Below are 19,174 nucleotides of genomic sequence, written 5' to 3'. Positions count from 1 at the left end.
TGAATATAGCATGGGGCTCTCAGGTTGTGTTAACCCCATTTATCCCTGCATGCTACAGCTCACCTGTTATTTACACACATAAGAGGGTTGATACTGCAGAACAAGGGTAGTGCTCTGTTGTGACACAGAACATACATATTCATTAGCCACTGCAGTCCCTATGGACATACGTGGTATGTCCTGATGATCTGGGGGGAAGGGTAGATGGCCTTAATGGATTGAAAAATGTATACGGAAAAAGGAAAGAGAGGGCATAAGAAATGAAAGGCTGCAAAGTAACAACTTTAAAGGTTAACTACAAAGTGCTATTTAAACTGATTATAAATTGTCTAAAATTCACAGAGGTAGCATAAACAAAATAACAGTTTTTAAATATGGGAAAATCAGCCCTTTTACCTCAGACTCTTTCCCTTACAATAGTTAATGACACCTGACACTTAGGAAGATTCAGAGTGTGAATTATTTGTATATTTTAAATTGCATGTACACGCATCCTCATGTATCCTTCTGAATAACTTACCATAGAATATACACAGTTTTGTACACTTTTTTTTACTTGGTTTTAGATTATTATTCAAAAATTTTACACAGAAACATTTACAAAACCTACCCCCTACCCCCACACAGAAATCATAGATCTAAGTTATAATTTTAAACTATGTGGATTTGTGTGTGAGCATGATAATATGTTCACTTGTATACTTTAAGTATAGGAAATTTTAAGGGAAAAATTACTTGTTTGAATTATGATCATGATTTCCTGGGTTGCTTTAAATGATATGGTTTCTGTCCTGATCATATAGTGAATCTAGGCTCAGTGGTCTAAAAATGATATTTCTTTCATCACTGTAATTTGCTTTGCATAATGCTTATGCATTCATTCTCATAAATGCAAGCCATTTTATTGCATATTAAAAATAATGACCAATCAGACCCATGCATATCAAGTTTTATCCACCACATGAAATTTTGGCAAAAATAGTCACCGTTACACTTGGTCATATTTGTTGGGTGAATATTTTCTTGCTATGGATACAATTTAATGCATTGTAGAGAACCCAATTCAGATCATAAGCTACCTACAAGTTTAGTTTAAACACAGAGTATATATTAATACCATCCTAGTCCAAGTCATGGTGCCTGTAACATTAAATACAGGCTTTTATGAAGCCCAAAATAAAGACATTTAGACAACAAGATCTGTTGCTTACCTGCGTACCATCTACCCAACAACTTTCTGTAGGAAATAAGAAGCATAACTTTGGAGTAGCTTAAATAACCTTATAAAAGTTGTACTAATGCTCGTGTATTCAACTAATAGGAGATGCTTCACTCACTGTTAAATTAAGCTTTGGTTTGTGGTATCAAACATACAGCACATTAGGAATGGTGAAAATGGATAGGAAAATAGCAAAAAATAATATCTGACAAATTAGAGCAAAAGGGGGAACACTGAAACAGCATCTGAGACCAGTTTTTTAAGATACCATTCATTATTCATCATTCCACACTGTTGTACTAATGACACTGTATCAATAAGAAAGTTATCAATTATTTCCCACGTGTTGTGTTGTAAGAGGGTAGGGAGGTTCTCTTATCATAAAAAAAAGTATTTGGAAAATGTTTTTAACTTTTAGAGCTGAATACTTTCTAGATTTCAAGAAAAGGTATGTAAGTTAAGAAACTGGAGTTGAAGCTCTAAAGTGGAGTCCTAAATTTAAATGCCTGTGTGACCTGGTAGATACCATGAAAATACCTGACATTGTCAGGGGGTAGGAGCACCATGACAAAGTGGAAAGGGTAGGATATGCCCCAAGGAGGGAGCTGGTCCCCAGAATCGGACAGCTGTTGCCAGGCACGAATGAAGTGTTGTAAGATCTTGTCTGAAAAATGGGAAATATGGAAATACAGATTTTTTTTTTTGAGACGGATCTTTTAAAACATAAAGTCGAGTGATTTTTAAAGCCCTGTGCTGGCCAAACCAAACACAGTTGCAGGGTATATGTTACCCTCAGGCTGTCAGATTGCAATTTCTCTGTAAGAGGGTGAGGTATCTGAACTATATTTACTAAGACCCATTTAGCCAGAAATGCCTTCATAATTGTTTAAAAAAAAAAAAGCATTGTTTTATGCAAATACAATGGAATGGGTTGAGAAGGCTGCTGCAAAATGTATTGTAATTTGGAGTCTTGAGGTGTGAAAATATGATTTAAAGAGAAAAAAGTATTTGACAGTATTGTTATATAATTAGAATATCTTATTTTGAAACTGCAGGTTTTAAAATGAGTTTTAACTAGTCTTCAACCTCTAAGTACTTTATTTCTTAGTTTTAATCTCTAAAATGTTGAGTCACAGGAAACATCAAAAATAAATAAAATACTTTGAAAACATTTGAAAATGTTGACACCTTTTTGATTAAAGAGATTATGCTCTTTGTTTTGCTCAGAATGAGAGAATTTCTGTATCTTTCTTGGAACCAACAGTCCCACTGGAAAATTTCATTTACAGTTGCTGTCCTGAGGTTGAAGGAAAACTGACTTATAAATTCTGGGAGTGATTTTACTTTTTTTCTGTCTAGCCAGTGTTGTTTTGTTTTGTCTTTAATGCACCCCTGGCCTTTTCAAAATAAAAGAATACTAAGAAATGTTTGTGTAGCAGTTCACAGTTGGGAAATAGTTTCACAAAATATTATTCAGGTAATCTTAATAGCAATACAGTAAGGTGAAATAATACCATTATTGTCCACATATCACAGCTGAGTGAGTATGATGTGCTTAAGCAACTTAACCAAGATTAGAATAAATAAGTGATGATGTAAGCAATGCTGCCAGTGGTCTTATTCTACAGGCTGGAATTTTCACCGTGAAACAAAATTCTTGAACCTTCTTTATGTTCCTTCAGTCCCTTTCTATCCCAACAATCTATCAATGGCTCCAAATAAAATACTATATTATGCAAAATAGTATCCAATCCTATAAGACATCATTATAAGTGAAACATCAATCGAAAAGTGAGGATGTCTGGAATGGTTAGGTCATTTTAAAGTTCTGTTAATCTCTAAAATCAAAGAGTCTAATTTTGGAGAATTTAGACTGTGAAATTGTGAAAAAGAGAGTTGAAAAGGTTTCATCACCTTATAGAAAATGGATCCTCCTTTTTAGCATTGAACCACAATGCTTTGTACATAGTTCATCTTTTATTGACTAAATTTAAAATTTGACAGCCCCTCTGTTACATTCAGCTTATAAAATCTTCTAATTTTGGTCCTCTAAAGATGGAACAAAATTAGGTAAAAATGATACGTAATTTCAGTGCTTCTTCCTCACTTTTTTCCCTTTCTGTTACTTGTAGATTTTATGCCATATTTTAAAGCCAAGAATGATCGGGGAATGGGCTGAAGAAATTTCCAGATCAAATGAGTTAGTACTAGTAATACTAGATAATGCTGTGTTGGCCTCTTGGCTTATGAGGATGAGTAGACAAGGCTGCATTAGTCTCCTCAAACATTTCATTTGGTCATCACTCCCATTGAAGAATGATAATAAGTAGATATTGCACAGGGCCAGTTTGCAGTGCCAGGAGGTGTACAATCCTTCTTTCAGAAGGTTCTTCACTGCATAGACCTGTATTTTTAGCCAATGAATTTTCTACTTTCTACTGGAAATTTTGAATGCTCTGTATGTTAGTTCTGCCATTTCCAACCCAAGAGATGATAAATCTGTTGCATCAGAAAGAAGAGGCTGTAAAGTATTATAATTACTTTACAGTATTTACCCCAGTAGTGATTGTTTTTCAGAGAAACCCTTGCTAATATTATATTAATTTTTTTAATGTTAAAAAATAATGAAAGGTTCAGAGGTGCAATAGCTCAAAGAAATGTAATAGGTGTAGTAATGTTGTCATGCAGGCCTGTGTGAGTGCTATGCATCTGTTTTAGAGCAGGCAAACCTGCCATGCCTGCAGGTGTTTGCCTCAGGTCCCTGCCCTTAGGAAGTCTGAGAAAACCTACAAATGAAGGCAGAGCCCCTAGCAGCCAAAATTACCCTATGGGAACATTGTAAAAGGGAGTAACTATTTTAGACCTGATGAACTGTTGAATAGTACACGTATATAAGGAGTGGGTTGGGTAGTGAGTGCCTCACATTGATATTTCTATGAATATATGCTAAAAACAGATTCTAGAAGACCTAACCTTTTATTTCCAATTTTCCTCTCATTTTGAAAGTTGCTTTTATACCCTTCATTTTTCTATATTACTGTTTAAAATTTTATAGCTGTGGCAGAACTTCAGAGGATGCTATAGTTGTTTTGTTTCGAAACTAGTTAAAGAGCAAAATGGAAAAAGTAAAGCAACAAGGCAGTAACTGGTTAGTAATTAAACCTAAGTTATCAAATGGTCAGTAATGGTAAGAATGGCAAATGTTATCCGTACTATCCAGTTATATAGGAAATATGGATTTGTTCATTTATATATACATGGAGTCATCCCATAACAATAAAATAAGAACAATGCTCAGATGTTTTACTCTAGTACCTGTCATTCCTATGTAACACTTAAATTATCTTAAAAGCAATTTTCTATTAGATTGTGTATTTTCAAAAAACACGTTGCATGATGAAATTTGCCAGCTGTATTAAGATTTTTCTGATCCTTTCAAAAGTAAAAATTGATGTTTTGCAACAATTCTTCAATTATCTTTAAAAACTATTTTTCTTACTTTCCACTGTTTTCTGAATTTTTACTGTACCTATTTAAACTATTTCCAAACAACAGTAGGAGTTATTGTTCTAAAGTCATGCTTCTAATAATGTTAAAATAGTATTGTTTCTGAGATCCATCTCCATGTTCTGAAGAGAAACCATATAAAAGCTGTTTTTAAAACTCAACCCATTATTTGAGTGCCAAGTTAAGTGACACAGGTGTATTGCTTCTGACTCACACATAATTGCAATACAGTCAAACAAAGCAGGATGTTTTTGTTGTTCAGAAAACATTTGGCTCTGTGGTTTTGTTCCATTTCATATCAGAAATAGCACCACCAATAAACACAATAACAATAACAACAAAAAAATAAATTTGGTTACCAATTTCCAGTTAGTGTTAAAATTCAAGGAACCAACCAAAAGGCTCTGTACTTCGAAGGCCAAGACAATCTCCTGAACACTGATTTCCTCAGCTCCTGCTAATATCAAGAATTAGTTTGTGGTTAGATTAGCTTATGCTTTTAAATAACATTAATGATTTTAAAGCACTGGATAAATTCTCGTTTCAGGGGATATGAACAAGTCCATTGCCTTGTATTTAAACAAAATACAATTTTGCCTTTTGCAGCTCTGCAAAGGTTATTGTTATTTACTATGCATCAATAAATAATCTTTCAATTATCTTGTAAGCACATCCAAAAATAGCATGACAATCAAAAGGCAATGGTGTATCCAGTAATTGTTCCAAATAGATAATTTTGATAAATATGATCTTTGCTTAATTTCAGGTAAAAAAGAAATCTTACGAAATTTAGTTTTGCTAGACTTAAACCATGCAAAAATACCCTATGAAATGGACACTCTATTTAAACTGTATACTACTGTCTTTTACAGTGATTATAACTTATTAAAATCATTTTTTCATCTCTTGTATGAATAATATATTTACAAGAAAACATTACTTAAGCTAATACAGGTGGGGGGTTCCCACCTCCTGTGTTTTTTTAAAAAAATAAGCAGTTTCATTTGAGTTAAAAAGTATATTTCTTTATAATATTTGTTATGTATGTTTATTAACTTATGCTAACAATGGCTTAGCTCAGCAAACTGAAAGGAAGCCGTCCTTTAACTTATGTGTGCGTACGTATGTGTGTGTGTTGTGCTAAATTCCATTGCCTGTACTTCTAAATTATTTGTTGAGCCCTTTAAGACTTTTTTTTTCACGTTTTTCTGTATCAAACTAATCACATTTATACTCACAGCATATGTGTGTTCTTATTTTCTCTACTCTGTATTTTGATAATATTTTAAAGAAAAGAACCATAATAGAAATTCCCTAGAAATAATTTACAGGACTAATGAATTTGTAGGTCTCTTAGACAGTTCTACATTACAGTCACATTAATATTCTCTCCTTTTTATAAGGCTTGAAGTAAATCCCACGACACTAGAAGCATTTAGATACTGATTACTTGCGATTGGTTCCTGGTGATTTGCTCTTAATAATTTCCAGTTGAATTTAATGAAAGTATGATTCCTGAAATGCTGCTTCATTAAAATTGCAGCTTTTCCCCTTTAAGTGTGGTTTCGGTCATTTCACCCATTTTGCGGTGTGTTTTCCTCCCCCTTAAAAAGTAATGATTGAGAAAGCAGAAATAATTAAGAATACCACTTTAGTTCTCCCTGGAACTCATCCTCAGAGTTTCTCTGAGTGAAATGATGCAAGCTGCATTTCATCAGGATTTTATAATACTATTTTCCCATTCAATGAGATTATTTAATAATATATAAAGTTTTAAAACATAAATATGAATTTTGGGGGTAGTTGAGGGAAATTGAAGAAAGAATCTGTTGCATGTACAAGAGAACTGAGGTCTTTAGAATTTTTACTAATATGTATATACATATATTTAGGTTGATTAAGTTACACTGTGCAGCATTCAGACTTAATTTAACTGAGTTGTGATTTGCAAATGAATATCTACATGGATCCTTTTTAAAAATCAAAATGCAAATGAGTACAATTGCAGTAAAATATATTTGCAAATGAATCCTGTTGCTTTATTCATTTATTGTGTAATTACTGCAATCCTTCCCACCTTGTTTTCAGTATTTCTTAATCATTAAGTCGGAAGCATGACAGCAGTGCCAGCCCTGGCATGATTCTCTTTGACTAAAACCTTGTAAATTAACACAATTAGCACAGCATCATCCTGCTAATTAACTTCCAGTGTCTGGTGCAGTGGTTTTGCAAACAAGGAAGAGGGAGTCAGAAGGGAATCAACATGCCATTCTGTTACCAAACTGTGTGTTATGTTCAGTTTATCGCAGTAAGTCAGAGCCGGCCATGTCAGAAGCCAGAGTCAGGCAATGAAGAGCCACAGAGCTTGGAGGAAGAGCACAGAAGGGGGTAGAAACTGACAAAATAGACTGTAGTAATTCAGAAGGGGGTTGATGCCACAGATGCTTCATGTAGACCAGGCCTCCTCCTTATCAAGGCATCTCTGCCAGAGGGCACAAGACAGTTTGCAAAATTCACTTTGGGTAATACAAAAAAGATGAAGGAGAGATGCTTAATATAGCTGTACCAGAATAGGAAGTGTTAAACCAAGCAGAGATTAGACTGAGATGAGCCAGCAATGGGAAAAAGGAGAACAGGGTACCAGTCCTCTTCTGTAACTAACTGTATGTGAGACCTCGAGGGTACATTATAAATCGCTTTGGGCCCTGGTTTCCTAATCTGTGAAATAAAGTAATTTCTAAAGTCTCTTTACAATTTAAAATTCAAATTATTCTGACTGCTTAGTATTTTTTTCTTAAATGAGAAAATGCTCATTTTGTAGTTTGCTACATAGTCAACTTTGCTTCACTTAGTAACCCAGCAGATGATAGAATTACCCAGACCATCTCATTATCTACTTGTACTCCTCTAGCGTATGCCCTACGTGGTTTCCTATAGAAATTGAAAGAGTTAGAATCCAGAATCTCTCTCCATTCTTATCTTCCCTTTCCCCTCAGTTTCCTTTCTCTCTCTCTCTCTCTCTTTCTCTCTCATATATAATATATATATATATATATATGAAGATGTATAAGACAGGATGTGTATAAATACACACACACACACACACACACACACATTCTCCCCTCTTAGTACCTTGCAGGCTGTAAGGGGAGGAGGGATTATAAGAGAAGGAGGGAGAACGCTAGAAGACCGACAGACAAGTGATGCTTGTTTTTTTTTTCAGAGACTCAACAACAGAACTGAGAGGCAGAAAGGAGCCAGTTGTAATTCATACCGAGTTGTAGGCTTTGTGCGATGAAAGCGATGGAGCGCTGCCTGGGAGATTGCTTTGCTGCACTCCACGAAGCAGATTTGAAACTGTCGTGGACCACTTTAGATGAGAGTTGGATTATGGAATGACCTGCTATGTCTGTGTCATATTGTTCTGCGCAGGGAGCATTATACTGTGCTAACTAGGTGTTCAGTACCAAATAAGAGAGGTATCCTAGATGTGATCTGTCAGCTGTGTCTCATTTTTATATTGCTTAAAATGTAAAACAAACTGTGATGTGAACAGACAGAATAGCTAGATATTGTACATGTTAATACTGCCATGTGCAAGATATTTAAAATGTCTGCTTATTTTAAGAACCTATGATTGAATTCTAATTTGACAGGAATGTGTGTGTACATATATATGTGATTGTGTATGTGCGTATAGTAGGTAAGCTGATGGGCTTGACAGAAATAGATTTACTTATTCCTTACAAATGCAAAAAATATAGGTAACTACAGAGTTATATTTTAAACTCAGTGTGCTTTTTAAACAGGGCTGAAGTTTAGTCCATTTTAAAGAGTACTTATTATAGGGATCATAATAGGTATTATAAACAGTGTAGATCTTTTAAAGTATGCATATCATTAATGGAAAATAATAGGTAACAAAAGAAATTGGGGGAAAAGCTTTAAGAGTTCTGATGCCTATTTAAGTAAATTAACTCTTTTCCCCCCAAAATTCTTAGGCTTGAAGATGCAGTGGACGCCAGAGCATGCCCAGTGGCCAGAACAGCACTTTGACATCACCTCAACCACTCGGTCTCCTGCCCACAAAGTTGAAGCCTACAGAGGTCATCTGCAGCGCACCTATCAGTACGCCTGGGCGAATGATGACATATCTGCTCTGACTGCATCCAACCTACTAAAAAAATATGCAGAGAAGTATTCCGGCATTTTGGAAGGTCCTGTGGACCGACCCGTACTCAGCAACTATTCGGACACACCATCAGGACTAGTGAACGGTCGGAAAAATGAAAGTGAACCCTGGCAGCCTTCCTTGAATTCAGAAGCTGTTTATCCCATGAACTGTGTTCCGGATGTTATCACTGCCAGCAAAGCTGGAGTCAGTTCAGCCCTCCCTCCAGCAGATGTCTCTGCGAGTATAGGAAGCTCTCCTGGGGTAGCCAGCAACCTGACAGAACCTAGTTATTCAAGTAGTACCTGTGGAAGCCACACTGTACCCAGTCTTCATGCAGGGCTCCCATCTCAGGAATATGCCCCAGGATACAACGGATCATATTTGCATTCTACTTATAGTAGCCAGCCAGCACCTGCACTTCCTTCACCTCATCCGTCTCCTTTGCATAGCTCTGGGCTACTACAGCCCCCACCACCACCTCCTCCGCCACCAGCCTTGGTCCCAGGCTACAATGGGACTTCTAACCTCTCCAGTTACAGCTATCCGTCTGCTAGCTATCCTCCTCAGACTGCTGTGGGGTCTGGGTACAGCCCTGGGGGGGCACCGCCTCCGCCTTCAGCGTACCTGCCTTCAGGAATTCCTGCTCCCACCCCCCTACCCCCCACCACTGTTCCTGGCTACACCTACCAGGGCCATGGTTTGACACCTATTGCACCGTCGGCTCTGACAAACAGTTCAGCAAGTTCTCTCAAAAGGAAAGCTTTCTACATGGCAGGGCAAGGAGATATGGACTCCAGTTATGGAAATTACAGCTATGGCCAACAGAGATCTACACAGAGTCCTATGTACAGAATGCCCGACAACAGCATTTCAAACACAAATCGGGGGAATGGCTTTGACAGAAGTGCTGAAACATCATCCTTAGCATTTAAGCCAACGAAGCAGCTAATGTCCTCTGAACAGCAAAGGAAATTCAGCAGCCAGTCCAGTAGGGCTCTGACCCCTCCTTCCTACAGTACTGCTAAAAATTCATTGGGATCAAGATCCAGTGAATCCTTTGGGAAGTACACATCGCCAGTAATGAGTGAGCATGGGGACGAGCACAGGCAGCTCCTCTCTCACCCAATGCAAGGCCCTGGACTCCGTGCAGCTACCTCATCCAACCACTCTGTGGACGAGCAACTGAAGAATACTGACACGCACCTCATCGACCTGGTAACCAATGAGATTATCACCCAAGGACCTCCAGTGGACTGGAATGACATTGCTGGTCTCGACCTGGTGAAGGCTGTCATTAAAGAGGAGGTTTTATGGCCAGTGTTGAGGTCAGACGCGTTCAGTGGACTGACGGCCTTACCTCGGAGCATCCTTTTATTTGGACCTCGGGGGACAGGCAAAACATTATTGGGCAGATGCATCGCTAGTCAGCTGGGGGCCACATTTTTCAAAATTGCCGGTTCTGGACTAGTCGCCAAGTGGTTAGGAGAAGCAGAGAAAATTATCCATGCCTCTTTTCTTGTGGCCAGGTGTCGCCAGCCCTCGGTGATTTTTGTTAGTGACATTGACATGCTTCTCTCCTCTCAAGTGAATGAGGAACATAGTCCAGTCAGTCGGATGAGAACCGAATTTCTGATGCAACTGGACACTGTACTAACTTCGGCTGAGGACCAAATCGTAGTAATTTGTGCCACCAGTAAACCAGAAGAAATAGATGAATCCCTTCGGAGGTACTTCATGAAACGACTTTTAATCCCACTTCCTGACAGCACAGCGAGGCACCAGATAATAGTACAACTGCTCTCACAGCACAATTACTGTCTCAATGACAAGGAGTTTGCACTGCTCGTCCAGCGCACAGAAGGCTTTTCTGGACTAGATGTGGCTCATTTGTGTCAGGAAGCAGTGGTGGGCCCCCTCCATGCCATGCCAGCCACAGACCTTTCAGCCATTATGCCCAGCCAGTTGAGGCCCGTTACATATCAAGACTTTGAAAATGCTTTCTGCAAGATTCAGCCTAGCATATCTCAAAAGGAGCTTGATATGTATGTTGAATGGAACAAAATGTTTGGTTGCAGTCAGTGATAACTTCTTTAGAAAAAAAAAATGTAATGAATGTTGGCACACACACATAAAACCTGCTACATAGGGAATAGAGCCCCTTTCCAGTAGAGTTTAAATTGCAAAGGGTACTGGGGAAGATGACGATTAAGTTGCATCTTTAGAGTCAGGGTAGATTTGGAGGAAAAGTGCATCAAATGAGAGCTTCTGATTTGAAAGCCCCAGATGACAGAAAGCATATGTGGATGCTCAGTTCTGTTCAAGCTAGACAACACTCACCAAGGAGCAAGGTGCAAGTGTGTTGATTTCAGAAGGACATGAACCTCGTGTGTTGATTCCATTCTGCTGTTCTCGAGATTTAGTTGCTGTCAAGTGCCTGGAGTGGTGCTTTATTTTTTGTTTGCCTCACAATTACATTGGTGGCATGTGCTAATATAAAGAGCTTTAACTTCAAACATTATTGGACTAAAGAGATGAACAGTTGTGTTATGACAGAAAACCAGATTTTTGCCATTTTAAGAGCAACAGTATTCCTCAATCCTGTCTGTTCTGCAGTATTAAGCTAAGAACAGGTAAAACAGGGTAACGGTAATCTGGACCTTAATTTCTGCAGTTCATTTCTTTTAATGTTCTTGTCTGCAAAAACTCAGGAAAGTGATTGTGATTTGTACAGTACCTCAAAGGAATGTGTTGAAAGCACTATGTACTGCTGAGAGTAATAGGATAGGCTTCAATGTTACTTTATATTAAAATGTATGTTTACCTCAACAATTGGAAAATAGCAAGGAAAATTACTTTGAATGTATCCAGAAAAATACTGAAGTGTGATACAACTGAATATTTACAGTTTAAAGTAGAAATGGAAGGATTTTTTTAAGTTCTTTTACTAATTATGGGGAATTAACCAGAGCAGAATAATTCTTTATGTCAATAACTGCAAGAGTTCTTAGTACATTGCTCCTTGATAATTAAGTGAAAATGTTCTTAAAAGGTACACTGGTTAATTGAAAGCTACTTATTCAGTTTGTGTTAGTGTCTAGACCTGTCAGCCACAAGACCTGTTTAGGACCCTGAAAGTCACAGTACCTAAAAACTATGACTGCCTTTTTATTGCATAGGTGGTAGTGGTGGTGATGGTGGTGGTAGTTTGCAAGTTATCTCTTAAAACTGCTGGGAATGGTGTCATTCTATTCACTAATCTAGCTTATAGACTTGCCGTGCTGTTTGATAGAATGCAGAGGATAGCAACCAAAACAAATACACAAATAAATAAAAACAAAAACCAACCAACAAACCAACTTACATACACATATATATATCCACAAAGAACCTCTCCATCTCCTCCCCTTCTTTTTGACTCCACTCTTGTCAGTGCAATTTTGCTTCTCATTTTGAAATCTGGGCTGTAGTGCTCCTGCTTTATTTCTACCTCAGTTTTGTTACATTTCTCTTGGAAAGTAAAGTAGAAAATTGGAAGTGGACACACACACTGCAATGTAGCTTGCCAAACATGTTACTTTGTTTTCTTCCATCTTTCACCGTAAATCTAGTTTCCAAAGACATCAGCATTTGTGCTTACTTCCACCTCAGTCTACCAGCCCCACCCCTACCCATGGCATAAGTGGCATTTTTCTTAATTTCCTATTTTTCTCCTGCTCTCTGTCAAGTTGTTCTTTGTATCCTTTAATGCTTTATGTGCAACCTTTCATTGATAGTGGGCTGATGTTTGGCAATGCTTCTGAACTGTCACAGAGCAGGCTGTAGCTTTCCACAGCCACTGCCCATGCATAAGCAGAACAGCCTGGCCTTTTGAATGTATTTTCCTGGGTTTTTTCCCCTTTTCTTTTTTTAGTTTAGAGATGCAGTAACAAAACTGTTGCAAAGCACTGGCATTTTATGTATTCAATAAATAAGTGATGTACATTTTTAAAAAAATTTAAATAAATGCAATGAGAAGCCCCAAGAAAGGCCTTTCTGTTTTTTTTTTCTTACAAAAATTTTTACCGATCTTATCCACAATATCCAATTCTCTGAAACACTTAACATAGAGAAAGCTCATGAGGGATTTCTTATCTCTGAAATTTTATGATGCTTGATCTTTACTCCCCTTTTTTTATTTTTTATGTTGCTAAAAACTGAGCAATTGAACCAGAATTTAATTTACTGTGACATTCTGTCAATTAAAGCTGTGCTTAAATATAAATATTCCATATTAAAAAGCAGTGCCTTTCATTAAGGATACAAAAAATAATACTTAAATACGCCCTCTGCTTTTCGCAAGTGAATAAATGCTACAATCGTGTTCTGGGTCTACCCTGTGCATCCCTTGTAAGGAAATTCTAATATCCACATTAACTTGTAGGTTCATATTGATCTCACTGACAAGTTTACTTTTGCACAGTGCTGACCTATTTTCTGACTTTTAGACATTATATTTCATTTCCGCCAACATGCTGTGTTCACTTGAAAGCGTCTGGCAAGTTTTGACAAACCCAGTCTTATTTAGACAACTTTGGAAAATCCAATATTGACCCACATTTTTTTGTGGCTAGTAAGATTTAATGCCAAATATATGACTGCACTATTGTGTTTTACACTCATTTATAAAACTGAAAATAAATTGAAGTCATACATCTTGGCTTTTAGCTTTAAGTGACTTAAAAATTAGAACTCTGAGTGACTTAAAAATTAATTTGAGATGCAAGTGGTCAAAAATCCATGTATTTAGACAGAAGCTGAAGTCGTATGTGATTTTCATTTAGCCTCACAAAATCCAAGATTTGATCTCTTAGGAAATTGGGCATGTTGAAGAAATGAAGATCTGTTGGAGGAGATATGGCTGACCTTTGAGTAGATAGTGCTCTCCTGTGATTCTTTGATTCTGCATGGCAGCATTATGAGCTCTTCTATAAACTAGCTTAATAATGAGCTCTATTCTGACCATCTATTCTGGAACTTGGAGTGGGGGTGGGGTACCACATCCTCAGAAGTGAATGTGTACAGTCGGTGATAGTACAACTGAGTAATGGGGCTTCATACCCTTGGCCTCTTTTTGACTGCTAAGAATTTGGAGAAGGCTATTAATGAAGGTAAGGTAATGAGCCAGTCCAAATCCCTCACTGTCTGGCTAAGAGATTGAGCCATTCCACTTTACAGCCCCTAATTCCCTTCTTCCCAACTGCAGCAACATTTCCAACAGGGACAAAAAGGAAGTGAAGGAAACCACTTCAGTATTGGGATCAATAGAAATTCAAGAGGTAGTTCATAATGACCTTATATGTGACACAAATGGAAATACTCTACACTTCTGGCATGCTTCTCTCCCAAATATTTAGAACATTAGTGACAATATGAAAAACTTTGCTGACTGAGCTGATCAATGGAATGTGAAGGCAGTATACTTTAAGGCTATTTACTTTCACACAGAATGTTTATCTATTAGTCAGTTTGTATTCTACTCAAATGCAGATAGACGGGTATAATGTTTTCTTGTGCATTTGAAACCTATCAAGGAGAAAATAAACCATTCCACTAAAATACATAGGCCAAACACCATCTGGGAAAGTGATAAAAGCTATCCAGAGGCTATGCTATGTAAAATAGCAAGGTCAATTTACATGGGTTGCATAGTACTTGGCTATGCAGTTTTCAAAAGAACACATCCAAAAAAAAAAAAAATCCAAATTAGTTCCTATAATAGGTCTTTGTAAATTTAAATATATTTGTGGGTTGGAAAATACGTTTTTAGAGACATTTAGAATTTCTTTCTCTAAAAATGTATCCAACTCCAAGCAGAAAGAGACTTCTGTACTCACATTCTCATGTTTCTTAGAATTGGGTAGCATGATCATTGAATCTGTATTTTGCAAAGTGAAAGGGACGCAGCTTGTTGAACTATTGAGGCCACTAAAGTAAAGTTCTAATATATATATATAAATATAAAATTAGTGTGTGTGTTTGTATGTGTGTATGTGTGTGTGTTCTTTCATCACCACCTAGTTGAACTTTAAAACAGACGTCTACTTTTCATTATTCAGAAGCAACTTGTTACTTCCTTTCTTCATATGTGCAGAGATACACATGATCATGTTACAATTTGAAGTGTTTTAATGTGTTTTTTTTTCTTTTGAAACGTAAAGCCTTCAGTTGTTGAATCATCTGCCGATTTTTATATGAAGCACATTAGCAAACCTGGAGCTATTAGTATTTCAGAATTCACAACCAGCTGTACTTGTGACTAACCAACACATGAACTGAAGCTCACACTTTGCTAAGACCTTTGGTTGACATTCGATTTTGAACCTGCCAGATGCATTTGTGTGAACCAGGGATACTGCATCTTTAATGAACAAGTCTCTCCTCTTTCCCCTGTTTTTAAATACAACACAAGCAGTGTAGCACTAGGCACTGCAATTGTCAAAGACAATTAGACTGGAAGCAGGAAAATTTCACCTCCCTGTCTCAGTGATATGTAGAATGTCGGCAGCATGGGTCAGCCTTGCCACAGAGTTGTGTGAGAATATATGAATCAGTCCTATAGAATGTTAAATATTTATAAAATGGTTCTGTAGTACACCAAGGTTGGGAGCACATTCATTCCTTCTTGTTGTCTTATGATACAAAAAAAAAAAAAAAAAAAGCAAAAGTTTATTTCTGGGCTTAAAACTCTCCCTCTAATATCTCTCTCTCTTTTACCCCCATTCCCCAACCATTCTTCTCTCCATCCCTCTCCTCTCCTCTTCCTCTCTCTTCTCTCTCTCTCTCTCTCTCTCTGTCTCTAACTCTCGCTCTCTCTTGTATGTGGGTGTGTGTGTGTATGAGTTTCCACTGTGGATTATATACACTTGCTAGAGAATATTCATTTCTTTTTTTTCTTTTTTCATCTGATGTATATTCAAACATTGTTCTTTATAACCATTTCTACCTCATTGCTACATATTGTACATGTAGTATTTATTTGTTGTCTTTTTTTGAATGTCATGCATTTCGTAAGAAAAAGACTTGTCCTTGAACTTGAACAGTCTACCTCAGAAAGACTGTCTTTACACTGAACAGTATTAGCAACCTAAATGATAAGACGCATTAGTGAAGTGTGGCAGGGTAGATAATGCACGAGTACTTGGGATACTGATGGACTTTTAATTGTATTCATAACACAAGACTGCTTAAAAGAACTTAAAAGAAATTATGCACTGTGTAGGTCTTCATCGAGGTCCCATTTGGGACATTATATACAGAATAGAGCTTTATTCCTATGTGCCCATCTCTGAGAAATGTGTTAGCATTCCCAAGTATTTTACACTGGCAATCTGGCTACTTAAGACAAACAAATTCAAACAACATTTTTATATTTTGACTGACACCCTCAGCTCCTAAATTTAAGAGAAATAATGGTACTTAACTATTTTCAACTATAGTCTTCAGTGATTGAAAATGCCTTCATTTTAATTCTGTGACTCCTGATATAAATTAAGAAAAACAATGCAGTTGCAAGGGCCTGCACAACACTGAAAATAAACCAAAAATTAAAAATGGCACTTCCCAAAGGAATTAACAAACGTGGAGTCATGGTGCTTGCAAGTTCCATAACTGAAAGCATTTTGTTTCTGATTTCCCTTTATAACATGTATTTGTTTATTGAAGCAATTGTACAACTAATGGCACATTGAATTACTTTGTATGAAGTGTTTTATATTATACTATTTATTTTAGCATTCGTTCTTTTTCTTCACCAGCTCTATATTACAGTAGCAAAAGAACACTTAGTTTTAAAAAATGCTGAAAGGGGTTCACCACCCACCCAATCGATGAATGGACTTTTGAAGTTGCTTGTCAGCAAATTGTGGATATTTTACAAAAGCAAATGAACTGTGACAATCCACAACTCCCACAGATGTGAATTCAGAAATGCATCTGAAACTCCGGTATGCCTGACAATCTATTCTTTAAGTTTCATTAACAAAGTGGCATCCAATCCTTTCACTTACAATTCCTTGCAGGAATGTATTGTCTAGAGGCTGTCTAGTAGTGATTAAGAGAGGGTTTTTGTTTTGTTTTATTTGTTTACTGTATTAGGTGAGGAATGCCATATTTCTTGTCAGCCAACAGTACTTGTCTGAGACAGAAATTTAAAAAAAGAAAAAGAAACCTAACTAATTAAAATTTCTGTGCACTTTGCTTCCCTGACCATATTGATTTTATTTGCTTAAATTGAAACAATACGCTGGATTTGACCAGATTTTGACCCCTTGAAAGAAGAAAAGCCCTATATAGTACATGTTTCTTTGGGTTATTCTAGTACTGTTTCCTTATTTGTTCTGCAAATTTCAAATCATTTTTTTGTGTGCATTATTTTACATCTGCTGAAACTAAATGTGTTATTATTGCACTCATTAAAAATGAAACAATCCATTTCTCTTGGAAAAAAATGACAAGCTTTAGATGATGAAAGCTTAAATTATCCATCACTTGCAAAATGAATTCATATAATTTGTGAACATTATTAATGTAAATGAGACATTTCTGCTTAGATTTTTTTTATTTTGATGGGATCATTATATGGTTGATCATATGTGTGTAGGAAGCTGCTGTACAATTAACTTGGAGATCTGAAAATGCTTTTTGTCCTCATTGTTGCAGTTTCAATTGTAATCCATTGCATCTCATTTTCTTGGGTGTTGGCACTGTAATATATTAAAAAAAAATTCAGTGCTCAGTATTGTAACAACTGTCCCTACTGAATATTCCTTTTCATAAATACTTGCTACCACAGGGAAATTAAGTTTTCATATAGAATAACTAGTTTCAGTAGTAACCATTGAAGAATTAAAAATGTGGTTCAAGGCAGATATTTTTATGAAAAGTTTTCTCTATTGTAAAATTTGTTGTATATGGCTATGCTACTATCATGGAATAAGAAAAGAACAAGCATACCTCAAATAAAAAAAAATTCTGAGTTAAAAAAATTGCAGTTTGATTTTTATCATGAACCCGAGTTATCTCATTTTTCCCCTACCCTTAGCAATAGTGTCAGAAATGAGAAGCTAAATCTTTGTTTTGGATTATAAAGGCAAAATAATAAACACACAGTCCCTAGGATATTGGTGAAAACTTGGCACTGTTGACTGGGTCCAGTTTTAGACGGTGCTGAAGTGTGAGCTGTCACTTGATTTGCAGTGTTCCCAAAGGAAAAGGTAGAACACTTGGCAAAGCTGCCATTGATTTAGAGGCTGAGTTACACTCAACTCACAAATGACTGAATCCTCTGGCATGGGACTGTTAAGATTTCCCCCTCGTGAAGATGCTATTGTCCTCCCATGTGAAGAAGCACTGCTTTATAAAATGAGGTGGCAGAATAATTGAAGGTCAGACTCAAAATAGAGAGGCCTCCATAAATATTTTCTCAGTTCAGAAACTGAATCTATTGATAGCTAACCGTAAACCTAATGAGTGGAGAAACACCAATATTAAGACATACCTTTTAGAGGACAAACTCATTACCATGGAAGAAAAACATGCATATTTCTAGGTAACCAGTTCTATCATTATTTACTAAATTACGTACAGTCTATACTCCTGAGATTCAAGTTCTGGATGTTTTTTCAATGGTAATTTTTTAGAGAGATGTTATTTCATTTATTAAATACAAAAAATAAGGCAAAGAAGGAAAAGATAGAAAGGTGGCAAACAGGTGTTGAAATTACAAGGATGGATTGTTCCTAGGATAAAACGCTAATATACTAACATTACTAAAGCTATGAAGTTTTAGTAGATATATGGAAATCACATAGAACTGTTACCCTCAGGCCCTCTGAATTTTTTCAGTCAGCTCAAGATTTACACAAGGCAATTCTTCATTTTTGATAAACTTCTGAAGGCTCCCGCAGTAGCCGCTTAAGGTTCATTAAAATGTAATTAATTAATGATTTGCTGCTGAATAGCTGCTGACTGCGGTTTTCTTTTCACTTGTCGGACAGCATGAGTCACACAGTTGCCAAGCCGACAAGGAAACTATTTGCAGACTATAGCACCTATTGATGAGTGTTTCAATCTGCAGTCATTTGCATAGGAAAGATGCTGGTAGGGGTGTAGACCATGTTTTCAGTATGAATGTGAGTGACACCTACAATTTAAAAGTGCCTCAGACGGTCATAATAGTAACATTGGGCTCACGATGATTGTTTTTAAAATAGCCTTAAATTTTAACTCGACATAAC

General features: G+C 36.7%; 1 protein-coding gene across 3 annotated transcripts in view; it reads left to right on the top strand.

The window, feature by feature from the left end:
* The window catches only part of FIGN (fidgetin, microtubule severing factor), a 133,398-nt gene extending 115,475 nt beyond the window's left edge, over positions 1-17,923 (top strand). For 2 of the 3 annotated variants that reach the window (NM_001321825.2, NM_018086.4), the window contains one exon: positions 8,728-17,923. In NM_001321825.2, coding sequence (NP_001308754.1) covers positions 8,736-10,982 — 2,247 coding nt within the window. In that variant the 5' untranslated portion in view covers positions 8,728-8,735 and the 3' untranslated portion in view covers positions 10,983-17,923. Of the gene's footprint in view, positions 1-7,949; positions 8,206-8,727 lie in introns of all 3 variants that reach the window. The other variant, XM_047444863.1, reaches the window with a different exon arrangement.
* Positions 17,924-19,174: the final 1,251 nt, after the last annotated feature.

This window comes from Homo sapiens, chromosome 2 (assembly GCF_000001405.40).
Source record: "Homo sapiens chromosome 2, GRCh38.p14 Primary Assembly".
NCBI lineage: Eukaryota > Metazoa > Chordata > Mammalia > Primates > Hominidae > Homo > Homo sapiens.
This window is presented reverse-complemented; position numbering and strand designations above follow the sequence as displayed.